Source organism: Homo sapiens, chromosome 5, assembly GCF_000001405.40.
Source record: "Homo sapiens chromosome 5, GRCh38.p14 Primary Assembly".
NCBI lineage: Eukaryota > Metazoa > Chordata > Mammalia > Primates > Hominidae > Homo > Homo sapiens.
The window spans coordinates 150,305,012-150,319,159 of NC_000005.10; the positions used below are offsets into that span (position 1 = coordinate 150,305,012).

At 45.8% G+C, this 14,148-nt stretch overlaps 4 annotated features.

Moving 5' to 3' along the window:
* Positions 3,901-4,534: an enhancer, noted in NCBI's record as "H3K4me1 hESC enhancer chr5:149688475-149689108 (GRCh37/hg19 assembly coordinates)". NCBI's record gives its function as "activates a minimal SCP1, AML or CMV promoter by ChIP-STARR-seq in primed H9 embryonic stem cells {active_cell/tissue: H9 hESC(primed)}" and the evidence as "EXISTENCE:reporter gene assay evidence [ECO:0000049][PMID:30033119]".
* Positions 4,535-5,168: an enhancer, noted in NCBI's record as "NANOG-H3K4me1 hESC enhancer chr5:149689109-149689742 (GRCh37/hg19 assembly coordinates)". NCBI's record gives its function as "activates a minimal SCP1, AML or CMV promoter by ChIP-STARR-seq in primed H9 embryonic stem cells {active_cell/tissue: H9 hESC(primed)}" and the evidence as "EXISTENCE:reporter gene assay evidence [ECO:0000049][PMID:30033119]".
* Positions 11,894-13,093: an enhancer, noted in NCBI's record as "BRD4-independent group 4 enhancer chr5:149696468-149697667 (GRCh37/hg19 assembly coordinates)". NCBI's record gives its function as "activates an origin of replication core promoter dependent on BRD2, P300/CBP, MED14 and CDK7 cofactors, and independent of BRD4, by STARR-seq in HCT116 cells {active_cell/tissue: HCT116}" and the evidence as "EXISTENCE:reporter gene assay evidence [ECO:0000049][PMID:35650434]".
* Positions 12,235-12,529: an enhancer, noted in NCBI's record as "tiled region #14436; HepG2 Activating DNase unmatched - State 5:Enh, and K562 Activating DNase unmatched - State 8:EnhW". NCBI's record gives its function as "activates a minimal TATA promoter and a strong SV40 promoter by Sharpr-MPRA in HepG2 and K562 cells {active_cell/tissue: HepG2 | K562}" and the evidence as "EXISTENCE:reporter gene assay evidence [ECO:0000049][PMID:27701403]".

Below are 14,148 nucleotides of genomic sequence, written 5' to 3' on the forward strand. Positions count from 1 at the left end.
GGACTAAGTCCTGTGGGTGAAAGTTACAGGAAAACAGATTTCGGACCAATTTAAGGGATTGCTTTTGTAAGAAATCCGGCCACCTGCTTAATAAAAGGATGACAGTGATTGGTGAATCACCATGTGGAGGGGAGTGGGTGGACTTAGGGCCCAACTCTTGTTCCCCAATACTCACTTTTTTCTTAAGAGTCTCCATAATCACCAAAATCCACAGAGGCCTCAGAGAGCACTATCCTCCCTCTATCATTCTAAGGAAATAAACACTGACCCTCAGCAATTCCAGTGATGCCATTACACAGCTAGGCCAGGCTGCAACATTTAAACCAGACATTTCCAAAGGCTCAAGGATGACAAGGAGGGAATAAACACAAAGTGTAATGTGAATCGTGGTCATATAGCTTTCAAGATTGGCTCACTTATCTTCCCTTTGTGTTCTCTACAAGACAAGGTGCTTACCTGCCGTCTTCCCTGGGACAATGTCCATCAGCCCTACCCCAACCTACACAGACTCTCAAAACTCCAACATGTCTCAAGTTCAGGCCCAAGAATTAAGACTTAGAGACACAGACATTCCCTCTCCAGCAAGCTAAACTAGCCTTTTCAGTTTCTGTCTCAGAACTCAGCTGTTTCCAAGACAATTGACAAGAGGAATGTCCACCCCACACAGGAAAGATCTGTCCCCCCATTCTCACAGATGTGATCTCCTCCCTTAACCCCCAAACGACATCCACATTACAACACTACAGAAAGCCTAATATCTGCATACAAAATGCATTTCAGATGTGGCAGGGTGTAGTTTTGTTACTTCCTGTCACAGATTTCCATTGATGAAATCAGACTTCAGAAAGTACTGAGCTTCCCATTACTGGATCCATGCAAGAAGGGGGTTAAAGTGCCTGTCTATCCAGGAGATAATAGAAGAGATTCCTGAACTAAAAAGAGGGAAGCAAAATGAAAGGACTGTGAAAGCTCTTTCCCATTTGAAAATGTTAAGATTTTAATCATTTGTTCCCAGACAACTTTTTAGGGAGCGGAGATATAAAAGTGAAAAACTGGGTTAGTTGGTTTTGTGGCTTTGTCTGTCATTGCTATTCGTGTGTATGTGTGTGTGTGTGTGTGTGCATGTTAGTGGCTAGGTATATGTGTATGTTTGGCCATCTTTGAACTAAAATTATCTAAGTACCAATATTATTTCCTTCTGATTTATTGCCCTTGGCAAAGACCTTATGCATAAATTATGCATGCTGTCGTCCTCTCTCTAGGGGTCAATTTGTCTAGGCAGGATCAAATCAAAGACCAAAAGAAAACATAGAAGGCCTCTGAACACTCAAAATATCACAGAGTTCAATCACTTAACTCAGAGGAGAGCTCCTCAGGCCTTCCTAACTCTTAAGTCTACTGACTCTTACTTCATTCACAATTCTTATAAGGCCAATCATTTCCTTTCCCAGTCCGAGAATATTAGAAGCAGCTCAGATGGAATATATAAGAAAGTGAGACACTTGCCTATTTTATAGTAAAATATGCTTACATGTTTCACAGTGAAAAATTAAGGAGAAACAAAAGAATAAACAAAAATTCAAACTGATGAATTCCAAAAGCCTGGGAGTTTGGGGTTTATCGGTGCAGGAGCCAAGAACTATATTCACCTGAACAGACCCAGAAACATCGCCAAATCACCGTTCCGCACAGAAGTGAGTTTAGATCTCTTTTTAAGAGTTGAGGATCTCTTTTTAAGAAAGCCAGAAAGGCATCATCTGTTTTTTAAGGTTTCCATCCAAAATGGTTAATATGAACGGTTCATAGTGCAAGGTCAGCTTCAGTTGCAGAACATCCTCTCTGCAGACACAGGCTCAGTGAGGCAGCAACATCTTCAGCGGGTTCCATGGTGGTGCCGGAGGTCATTCTCAGCTGCCCAACAAGAGTGCTCTCCCTCCCCAGTGGCAGGCCCCTCTCATCCACCTTCTGCCTCCTCTGTGCAGCCCACTGAGGCCAGCATGGTGTTACCCACACTTCAAGCCCCACAAGCTTCAGTAGCTGGCAAAGACACGTGGGACTCAGTGTGGAAGCAGAGAATCCCACTCTGGTGCCCTCTCTGACAGCCAGGCCATATCCCTCTAATGAGCAGGTCTTTCTATTTGGAAGAGAAAACTCTACATGTTCCCTTGGTCACCTAGTTTAGTGACCACTGGCTCTTACCGTAACTCCCACACTCTCTGCTTCAGCATCATTCATTATAATTAATTACTGATTAATGGAAAGGCCACAGGTGTTTAAGGAAGCCATACGGCTGCATTGTGGAGAATGGATTGCAGGACCCGTGGTATGGGTCCACGCAGGAGGTCCACGCAGGAAGTCCACGCAGAGACACGTCTGCCCGATGGGTTGCTCTCCACAGAAGGCAGGCTGAAGGGGTATCTGAGAAGGTATCTAACATCTTCTTGGATATTACTTGGGCAAAATGGTGCTGGGAAGACAGGGGTTTTCCTCCTTGATACTGGGGCACCTACTTTAGCCTTTCTGGGGCAGACATACATCTCCCCCTCTGACCCTCGCTTCCAGACCTCTGGGTGGTCTCACTGAGTGCCCTTGTCTTAGTGATCAGGATCCCTATATCAGGTCTTTGAGCCAGGATAGGCAAGAGCCCAGGTACCCATGGCCTCCTTGTCTTTAACCCTTCATAGGGCCCAGCCCTGGCATTTCAATGGCTCCTTTCTCTGGCGCTCAATGAAACATTCTTCCGAGAAGATTATTGAAAGCAGAGCTCTGGGTACACAATGGGCGCTCTGTGCTCACAGCCGCTGCCCAATCTGTTTGCCCAGCCTGACTGTGGCCTCACCTCTCCACACACTCCCCACCCTCCACCCACCCGACCCCGGTCCCACCCCAAGGCCTGCTCAAAGGGAGGTCGTATGAAAGGACTTGTTCTCCATGTTCTCAGAAGTTCCCGCCCTGGCCTCTTCCAACCTTGAGAGGAATTAGCCTAATGGGACCCAGGCCTGCCTCCAGCCCATCCATCCAGGGCTCTGCCCACTTTGATGTCCAGAGGCTTCTGTCATCACTGGTCAGCTGCAGTTTCTCTCTTATACAAACACCCCCCACACACACATACACACAAACACACACATACTTTCAAAGAAAGAGGTGAAGTCCCAGAGAATCAAATAGAGAGTGGCAGTGCTCAGATGCAGACAAACAGAGGGGCTCCCAAAAGTGAGGGTGGCAGGCTGCCCCCCAACCCCACCACGAGGGCCTTCCAAGGTTCAGGGAAGGAAAAAGCGTGTTCTGGTTAAATGTGAGACTCCTAGAACTAGATCGCCTGTGTTCTAGCCCAGCTCTGCCATTTGCTAGCTGCATGACTTAACCTCTCTGTGCCCAGTTTTCTTACTTGTAAAATGGGGGTGAGAGGAAGAAGAAGAAGAAGAGGAGGAGGAGGAGGAGGAGGAGAAGGAGAAGGAGAAATATATAACCTCATAAGATTGTTGTGAGGATTACAACAGACAAGGCTTCTGAAGCTCTTAGCACAGTGCCTGGTATACAATTAGCTCTCTGAAAATGGTAGCTATTATTGTTTTTGTTACTAAGCTTTGTTGTTGTTATACTTAGATTCTATTTCTACAAGTGTATAGCCTCAGGGCAAAAATCTACATTCCCCTGATCAAGTTATTCTCCTCCAAAATTTCAATAGCCACTAGCTGCCTGAAATAAAAAGCTCGAGCGTTTAGCCTGGCATTCAGCACTAGAACTTTGCCTTCCTTCTTCATGATAATGTCACTGGATATATGGAAGGTAAATGGGTCCCGTCACTACTATTACTGCTGTCATTGTCATCATCTACTATACTTGGAGAAACTGGCTTTTAGCACAAATGATAAGAGACACTGCCTGAAATAAAAATAAATAAATTAAAAAAACCTGACTCGATACCAAATTGAAATTCGGAAGTGATAATAATAATATAATAGCTTACATTTATTGACGATCTACTGTGCCAGGTACCATGCGTAACTCTTTATATCTATTATCTCACTAAATTCTTACCTACCTATAAGGTAGGTAAAATTATTATCATTATCTGCATCTTGCCCATGGAGAAACCGAGAAACACAGAAAGGGTGAGTAACTTGCCCAAAGTCACACAGCTAGAAAGTGTCAAGGCCATGATTTGAATATAGGTGTCAAACCTATTGCCTGCTGCATTAAAGTCCCCACCATATGCTCTCCTGTCACCAAGCCTGTGAATGGGGTCCCCTCTGCACTTGAGTGGTTAGATGCCAACGCTCCCAATGCACTGGAATGCCCTGGCAGTGGGCCCCAGAGGCCTGAGAGGTCTGAGTGGGCCTAGGAGTGACATGAGTGCATGCTCTGGGAGACGCCCTCCACCCCCTGCCACGCTGGGATGCTGGGTGGAGCTGCCTCCAGCACTGCTCTGCTCCTCCCAGACTGAGTGGGAATTGATCCATCTTGGAAGCCGCTCTCAGGCTTGTCCCCTGCCCTTCCCATTCCCTCCTTGAGGCTCCCTTGCCTGCTCCAATAGCTTCAGGATGTCCCAAAGCCCCTTGAGGCAGAGGCTTCCTCTGGCTTTCTATGTTCTCAGACCCAGATGTCACCTGTCAGCTCTGCCTCCCTGTGAAATGAGAGTCAGTCTCTCGGGGCAGCAATCTTGCTGGGTTTTTCTTCTAAGGGATAGCACAACCCAGCCCCCGCTGCCTCCTGGCCTTGGCTAGACTGCTCAAAGCCAGAGATGCTCTCTAATGACAGGGATGAGGCTTGCCTCTGTTCCCATGGCAACTACTGTGCTCTGCTAAGTCAATCACTTTTGAAGTCCCTGCTGGTGCTAAAGTTATTTTGCATAGAAGTGCTGAACCCTTATCCAAGAACTCTGTTCTGAGTCTTTAGATCCTTTCAGGTCTCTTAAAAGTTGATTTTCCCTTTCCCTTCCTTTGTTGAAGTCCTTTAATCTTTAAAGCCCAGCTCAAATCCCACCGCTTCCAAGAGACTTTTCTAGACCTCCTCCTCCCTTCCTTCCCTATTCAGTCAATCTCTTGCTCTCCACAGTCCCCTGGGGCATGTTTATGGTTCTATTAGATCACAGTCTGCCTGTTTCAGAGTTATTTATGTGTCTCTTTCTGAGCCCCTGGTGAGTGATCAGCCCATAGTAGGTGCTAAACAAACATTTGTTTGAATTTATTTGAATTTCCTTTCAGGGTTTTAAATATTTTCTATTATTAATAGTACAGGCCGTTACTAATAATCCCTTACACTTGTAAAATTATTTACAGTTTATATATAGCTTCATGCTTGAGGGTACTGCTTTAAACCCCAGCTCCACCCTTCCTAGCTGTGTGACCAGTATACAAGCCTTGTAGCCTCTCTCAACCTGCTTCTCATCAGTAACGTGGATTGTGGTAACGATAAAACTAAATGTGTAAAGGGTTTACTTAGCACAGGGCCGGATGTCCAGTGATCCTTCAATAAATGTTAATTATTATCATAACTCATGATCTTGTTTGGACCTCACGAAAGCTCTGGGATGTAAAAGGGGCAGGAATTTTGTTAGTGTCATCATTGTTATCAATGACATATGAAGAGACTGAAGCTTAGAGAAGGTAAGAGTTGCCTAGGTGTTCAGACTTTAGTCAAATACTGTGATGGGCACCTATTGTCTGCCTTGCAGCTGCTCCCCTTTCTTGGAAACAGAACCTAGATTTTCTTTGATGGGTTTCCACTGATGGGTTGACTCCAGGAGCAGGCTTGGACAATTAGAGCATCAAATGTCCCTGGTCAAAGTGATTAGTTCAGGAATGCACAAGTGACCTAAGACTGTCTAGTGAGACTCAATTCTGAGAATTTTGTTTGGATTTTTGAGAACAAGATTGTTCATTGTCTCTTTGCTGCTAGACTTGGAGCAAGAAGATTAGAAGCCTGGACCTGCCTGGAGCTAACTGTAGTGAAGAGAAAAAAAGCAAAGTGAGAGGTAAAGACAGATTCCCAATAACACCATTTGAGTACATGGGTCCTTTCCAGTCCTACCTGAAGCTAGAACTACTCCCCTGGACTTCAGTTATGGGAACAATACGTTCCTTCTTTCTTACACCAATTTGTGTTGACATCTGTCACTTGCTACTGGATGAGTACCAACTACTGCGAGAATGCTGTCTTATCCACACAGAAATCAAGGATCTCTTTATCCAATTCATTTGCTCAACAAGCACTTACTGAGCAACTATTATGTGCCTTTCACTCACTGGGACTAAGACTACAGATATGGACAAGACAAACCACCTGGCCCTCTTGGAGTTGATGGTCCATTGTCATTCCCTTAGACTTGTGAAGACACTGAGGCTCAGAGAGGAGAACACCCCAAAATATGTGTCCTTCACATGATTAAGAGTGCCTCGGTCCTGAATGAAGCTGGGCTGGAGCTGAGGCAGGCAGTGGTAATTGGCTGGTCACTGGCAGGAAGAGCTGGTTTAGGGATTAGTGAGTTTCTGCTCAGCAGGAAGCTTCCAGACCAACGCTGGCAGTTGGACCTGGAGGCTGAGCCCTCGTCCCCTGGATCCAGGACTTCAGGCAGGGGATAGTTTCCTGCGAGCAGCATGGCTCCAAGGTCTCATTTGAGGGTGTCAATTCCCATGCTCCTGGCTTTATGGGTGGACTCGCTTTGGTCTGGAATTCTGATTATGAAGAGGCCTTTCAGCATCAAGATTACCCTGGAGGGAGGCTTCATCTCACAGGGATTTTCAATATGCTTATCAAAGGGAAAAGCCCCATCTTATAGCCTAACCTGAGCCTAGTTTTTTCCTTTATCCTATGACCCACCCTTGGGAGAACCTAGTCTCTTGGGCAAACCCAGTCTCTCAGGGCCAGGTCTCTCACGGAGGTTGTGATACCTAGAAATTGGATTTGCACTCAGCTGGCTTAGTTTTTCTCTGCCTCCTCAGTTCCTAGCACAGACCCTGGCTTATAGTAGATGAGTAAGTCTGTATCTCATGAATGTTCGTAGGATTTTTTTTTTTTTTTTGAGACAGAATCTTGCTCTGTCACCCAGATTGGAGTGCAATTACGCGATCTCAGCTCACCGCAACCTCCGCCTCCCTGGTTCAAGCGATTCTCCTGCCTCAGCCTCCCAAGTAGCTGGGATTACAGGCGCCTGCCAGCATGCCCAGCTAATTTTTTTTTTTTTTTTTTTTTTGTATTTTTAGTAGAGACAGGGTTTCACCCTGTTGGTCAGGATGGTCTCGAACTCCTGACAATCAGGTAATCCACCAGCCTCAGCCTCCCAACGTGCTGGAATTACAGGTGTGAGCCACCACGCCCAGCCTGCTCATACGATTATTTTAAGATAGGGAGAGGCACCCATTCTGAGACAGATTGACCATGAAATTAGTACAGCTTAAGCTTCCAGACCCCTCCCTAGCACAGGGTCCTCTCTAATCCCTGAGGGGGGCTCCGACACTGTGTTCACATGATCACGTATCTGAAAGTTGAGCCCGTCATCTTAACTGCAATCAGTTGTGATCAATGACTCTTGCCTCTGACCTCTTCACTGTTATTTTCCTCAGGACAGATGGCTTTAGAAGGACTGTGGCATTTTGGGGGTCTGGCTCACGGGAAGTTGAACTGGGGATACATGCACAGTTAAGTCGGCTGTCTCGGTATAGAAATGTCTTCCAGGGCTCTTGCTGTCTGCTGAGCTGACTCACTTGACATATTATGACACAAAGGTGCAGGCCCCAAGCTTGGATGGCAGCGTGAAGGTGTCTTCCAGTCCCCGGCAATAGAAGTATATGTGTCGGAGAAGAGGGACAATTTTGAAATCTAAGGAGCCAAGAGCTAAGCTGTGGAAAATTCTTCCAATTATCAGACCTGTAAAATTCTAAGCAAAAGACTCAGTGCTCAAAGATGCTTAAGCAAAATGGAAATTATTTCCTGTCAGGAATATTCTACAATACAGTACATATCATTATAAATACACACACCAAAACCTTTTTCTTTCTTTCTTTCTTTTTTTTTTTTTTTCCTAGCCCTGGCTAGGACTTTTCTTTTTCTTTTTTCTTTTTTTTTGAGATAAAGTCTCACTGTGTCTCCCAGGCTGGAGTGCAATGGCATGATCTCTGCTCACTGCAACCTCCGCTTCCCGGGTTCAAGCAATTCTCCTGCCTCAGCCTCCTGAGTAGCTGGGACTAGAGGTGCACAGCACCATGCCTGGCTAATTTTTGTATTTTTCATAGAGACGGGGTTTAACCATGTTGGCCAGGCTGGTCTCAAACTTCTGGCCTCAAGTGATCTGCCTGCCTCTCAGCCTCCCAAAGTGCTGGGATCACAGGCATGAGCCACCATGCCTGGACTTCTGTTTTCTTTTTCTTTTTTTGATGGATATCATGTTATGGGTTGAATTATGTCCCCACCCCTCAAAAAAAAAAAAAAATAAAAAAACAAGAAATGTTTAAACCCCACCTACCTCAGAATGTGTCAGAATGTAGACCTGATCTGGAAATAGGATTTTTACAGAGATAATCAAGTTAAAATGAGGTCATTAGGGTAGGCCCTTAATCCAATATGACTGGTATTCTTATAAAAAGGGGAAATTTGGACACAGGCAGACGTGCAAAAGAAGAACACCAAGCTTTGATGAAGGCGAGATTAGCGTGACACATCTCCAAGCCAGGGAGCACCAGAGATTGCCAACAAACCACCAGAGGCTGGGGGAGAGGCCCGGAACAGATTCCCTCATGGCCTTAGAAGGAATCAACCCTGCCAACACCTTGATCTCCAACTTTTAGCCTCCAGGACTGAGAAATTAGATCGCTTGCTAAGTTTATGGTATTTTGTTATGGCAGCCCTAGCAAGCCAATAGCACGTGAAGGAGAATTTACCAGAAAACCCATGTCTGTGGCCCACCAACCAGCAGCAGCATTACACACAGTGACTACATCTCATGTTTTATGCATTCCAACCATCAAAAATTAAAGAGAAAAATTCAATTAACCATGCAAGGGGGAAGAGTGGATTATCTTTCCATTCTATGTTTAGAAAATGATTACAAAACCATTTTCCTGTCAAGACTGTGGTGACACCTGTGGCCGGTGCTCATCCTCCCAACACTACACTGCTCCTGAGTCTGGGCCTTTTTTCTGTTGTCTGCATCTAGGACTTCCCTGGTGCCTGAGTGTGCTCTCTGGGTCCTATTTAGAGAAACAACTGGCTGGGCTCTGCTCCCATGGGCCCAGATGTCAGGTTTGAGGTTCTAGAGAATTAAGGGGTCAGAGTGGCCTGGACTCTGTCTCCAAAACTGCCCTTCTTCATCATTTTTCATTCCTTTCCTCCAGCCAGAAAATGAAATTGGAGTTATTTCCTCTCAGAACCTGAAAAAATGTTGCCTTCATGTTTGGCCACGGACAGACGAGCTGTCTCAATTATCCTGGGAAAGGCCATCTAAACATCGGCGATTCCACTGGGTTTTTCTTTCCACCTTTTCCTCCTCCTCCTCCTCCTCATCCTCCTCCTCCTCCTCCTCCCCCCAGCCAGGCCTCCAGGCTCCCTTCCCTGCTCCACAGTGTCCTCAGGGGAACCCCAGCCCTCTTCTCCTCCTCCAACCCACCTCCTGCCTGCCTTTGCCACCAGCCTCTCTGGCTTGCTATCATATTCAGGTGACCTGCCGGGGGTCAAGTTTTCCTTAGGGTTCTGTCTGAAGCTCTTGGCTCAGGACCTGGGGAAGAACAGAGGGAATCAAAAAGTGATTCAGTTGCAGGGTCCAGGCTGGCATTTGGTGGCTGACATTGTAGATGGTTCTACCTAGAGCACCCTCAAATACAAGACTCTGAACCCAGCACCGAGCGGGCATCAGTCCGAACTCTTTGGGTGACAGAAACCCAACTTGCCAGCTTAGGGAAGAAGGAGGAATTTCCTGACTCGCGTAACCACAAGGAAGGAGACAGGATGGAATCAAGCTTCGGAGATGACTTGAACTCTTTCCACCTTTCACCTTTACATTTCTTTGGGCGTCATTGTCATCCTTCCAGACAAGTAGCCCTCACCATGACCAGGAAGGAACTAAGAGCCACTCTCTAGGTCCAAGTTAAAATGTATCAGAGAATTTAGACATGGCTGGTGGGAAAGTAAAATGCCCCTGTGGAAAATAGTTTGACGGTACTTCACAAAGTTAGACACAGAATTGCCATATGACCCAGCAATTCCACTCCTAGGTATATACCCAAAAAAGTTGAAAACAGGGATTCAAATATACGTTCCTCATAGCATTATTTACAATAGCCAAAAGGTGGAAACAGCCCAAATGTCCTTTCAATGGATAAATGAATAAATTGTAGTAAATACACACAATGGAATATTATTCAGCCATAAAAAAGAAATGAAGTCCTGATATATACTACAACCCAGATGAACTTCAGAAACATTACGCTAAGTAAAAGAAGCCACATGCAAAAGTTCGTGTATTGTGCAATTCCATTTGTGTGAAATATCTGGAATAGGTAAATTCATAGAGACAGAACCTGGACTGGTGGTTGCCAGGGTCTACGGGAAAGGGAGAATGGAGAGGGTTTCCTTTTGAAATGATGATCAATCAACAGGGTGTAGGGTGGCACTTACAAAAGAAAGGGCAGCTCCCACTGGAGTCAGGTGGCTACAGTTGAGGGTAGTCACATTCTTGCAGGGTGGAAGACAGAGTACTCTTTTGGAAAAGAGTAGTTATTTATTAAACTATAGTTTAATAAACAAGATGTGACACAATCAAACATTGGAGATAGGAGAAAATTTAGAACTACTCCATCAACATGGTGGCCACTAGCTGCCTGTGGCTAGTTAGATTTAAATTAATTCAATTCCTAAATAACAATAGCCACCTTTCAAAAGCTAGTGGTACCAAACTGGGTAGCAAAGACGTAGACATTTTCTACCATTACAGAAAGTTATATTGAAGAACATTAATTTAGAGACTGCAGAGTATGACTTTTTTTTTTTTTTTTTTTTTTTGAGACTGGAGTGCAGTGGCACGATCTCGGCTCACTGAAACCTCCATCTCTCAGGTTCAAGCGATTCTCCTGCCTCAGCCTCCCAAGTAGCTGGGATTACAGGCGCCCGCCACCACACCCAGCTAATTTTTATATTTTTAGTAGAAACAAGGTTTTGCCACGTTGGCCAGGCCACTCTTGAACTCCTGACCTCAGATGATCCACCAGCCTCAGCCTCCCAAAAAGTGCCAAGATTACAGGCATGAGCCACACCATGCCCAGCCGACTTCTTCATTTTATAGGTGAGAAAAATGAGGCCTAGAGAGATGAAGCATCTTATATAAGCACACACAACAATTTAGGGCCGCAGCCATAACCAACACTCAGGGCTTAGTTTAGGAAAAGTGGAGATGATGTTTTTAATTGGGAAGAAGCTCTATTGTCTCTTGTTTATAAAAGGAACATGCTTGTTGCATGCATTTTAGAAACACTCAAAAAATATTAAGAAAAATAAAGACCGACATAATTTCCATGACTCAGAGATTGTCATAGTTAACATTTATATATATTCTTCTAGGCCTTTTTTTTCCTATGCATTTCCATTCATAGACATATATATAGATTAAAATGCATTTTATTCTGTCTCCTGCTTTTTTCTCATTTAATATATTTCGGACATTTTTTATGTCATTAAATGTAGATTTATGCCATCATTTTAATATCTGTGAGAGATTAATTTTGAACAGGAGATTCTGCAAGACTCTTTTGAGGAAGTGGCATTTGAAAACAGACCCTTGAAGAATCAGGAGGCTGAGACGGTGGCCAGAGCGTTCTCAGCAGAGGGCAGAGTATAGACAAAGTCAAGTTGGTGACAGGACACTCTGTCCATTAGAAGCTTGCTTTTGACAGATGCAAGAATCAGGGCTCAGAGAGGCAAGGTAATGTTTACCAAGGTCATACAGTGAGTCCTTGTAAAGGGCAGGGCTCGAACCCAGGACTCCCAACTCTCAGGTCTGGGCTTTGGCCTCCAGAAAATCCAGTCTCGATTCTTCACATTGGTATTCGCAGCTTTGCATCACCTGGTTCTCACCCGCTTTGATTACCTTAATCACAGATGACATCCCATCACAGGACATCCTCTGCATCTGCTCCATGCACAGGCAGGGAGGTCAAGGCCCACTGAGGGGAAGGCAGTCTGAGTCATTAAGCAAGATGATAATCGCTGGCATGGAGAGAGCCCTCACTGCATGTCAGGCCATGAACTGGGGCCTGGTCCGCATCCTACCACAAGACCCTCTCTTCTCCTCCCTGGGGGCTGTGCCTGTGTGACCCCTGAGTCACCGTCTGCCTGCCTCACTGCTGTGAGTCAGCGGCATTCTTTGTGGCTGAGAGCAGCGCAGCTCAACCTCAGGGCCCTTCCCCTGTACCTTGGTGAGCCTGGCACATCCTCCAGCTAGGCTAGGAGTAAAAGAGTCAGCGGATGAGTGGCCTTGGGTCATGGCCTGAGAGCTGACCTGTGGGGGCCACTGGGATTCGGATGACTCAGAGCTGCCTCCATGCTGTTCGGAAGCTGGACACTGACTCTGTGAAGTAGTACTGGGCAGAAAGTACCAGCAACTGTCTGGGCTGGGAAGGGATGGTAGGAGGCAGTGAGAAGTTTCCCTGATAACCTCCCTTACCCCTTTGAGTACAAGTCAACCCCATCTCCGGGTGGCTGTTGGGGTGAGGGTTAAGAGCATGGGTTTTGCCACAAGGCAAACCTAGTTTGGGGTTGGAGTCCTAAGTCTGCTTCTTACAGTGTGACCTTGGCAAGTCACTTAACCTCTCTGGGCCTCTGAAAAAGGGAAACTGGGAAAACCAGTGCCTGCTACTGCAAAACTAAATGAGATCATGTATGTAATGCACTTAGCACAGTATAGGACACTGATAAAGCTCTTAGAAATTGGTAGTTATTATTTAGATAATATTATAGTAGACATTATCCAGGGTCTCTTCTAACATTCTCCTTTCATTTATTCACTCATTCATTCATGTGATGAGTATTTATATATTGAGTACCTATAGGAGTTGGGGGACAGAGTTCAGAACAGGCTTTCTGAGGACTGACGGTCACCCAATTGCTAATTGTATTATTCTGTTTTCATACTGCTATAAAGAACTGCCTGAGACTGGGTAATTTACAGAGGAAAGAGGCTTAATTGACTCATCAGTTCAGCATGGCTGGGGAAGGCCTCAAGAAACTTACAATAATGGCAGAAGATGAAGGGGAAACAAAGCACCTTGTTTACAAAGCAGCAGGTAGAAGTGCCAAGCAAAAAAGGAAGAGCCCCTTATAAAACCATCAGATCCCATGAGAACTCTATCGCGACCCACCCACCATAATCCAGTTACCTCCACCTGGACTCTCCCTTGACACGTGGGGATTATGGGGATTACAGTTCAAGAGGAGACTTGGGTGGGGACACAAAGCCTAACCGTATCACTGATGTTCACGGTTAACCCCTTCGTTGAGCAAAGAAAATACAGATATCAATAGACATGGTTCCTTCCATCATGGAACTTATATTCTAGTGGGGGAAAATGAGACAATAAATAGACAAATGGACAATAAACAAGAAAATGACAGATACAGTGGAGAGTGATGGGAAGAGGCCACTTTGGATGGAGTGGCCAGGGGCAACCTCTCTGAAGAGGTGGCATTTCCTGAGCCAGGAGGGCTGAGCCATGAGGGGAGCCTGGGCTTGTGAAGAGGCAGGAGGAGTGTCTCAAGCACGGCGAGGTCAAGGCAGGCACCAGTGTCAGGAGAAGGCTTTGCTGTGGATGACACAGCAAGGAGGCAGTGGGACTGCAGGGAGAAGGGAGCAGTGCAGGGTGAGATGTGGGCAGGGAGTGGCCAGACCTTGTGGGCCATGTTAAAACATGTTCATTTCTTGCTAAATGCAAGTCCATGCCTCCGTAGGCTGGAGTTCAGAGTAAGACTCTCGAATACCTGAATGAGAACTAAGCTGAGAAGAGCTTAACCATCTTTCTGAGGGGCATCCATGTCCCATCCAGACAGCTGTGAACATCAGCCCTCTCAGCACCAGCAGGGACCTTGAAAGTGAGCCCCTCCCCAAAGTAGGCAGGGAGACCACAGCAAAGCCACCCTGCACTGTGCTATTTCTGGCGGGGGGCC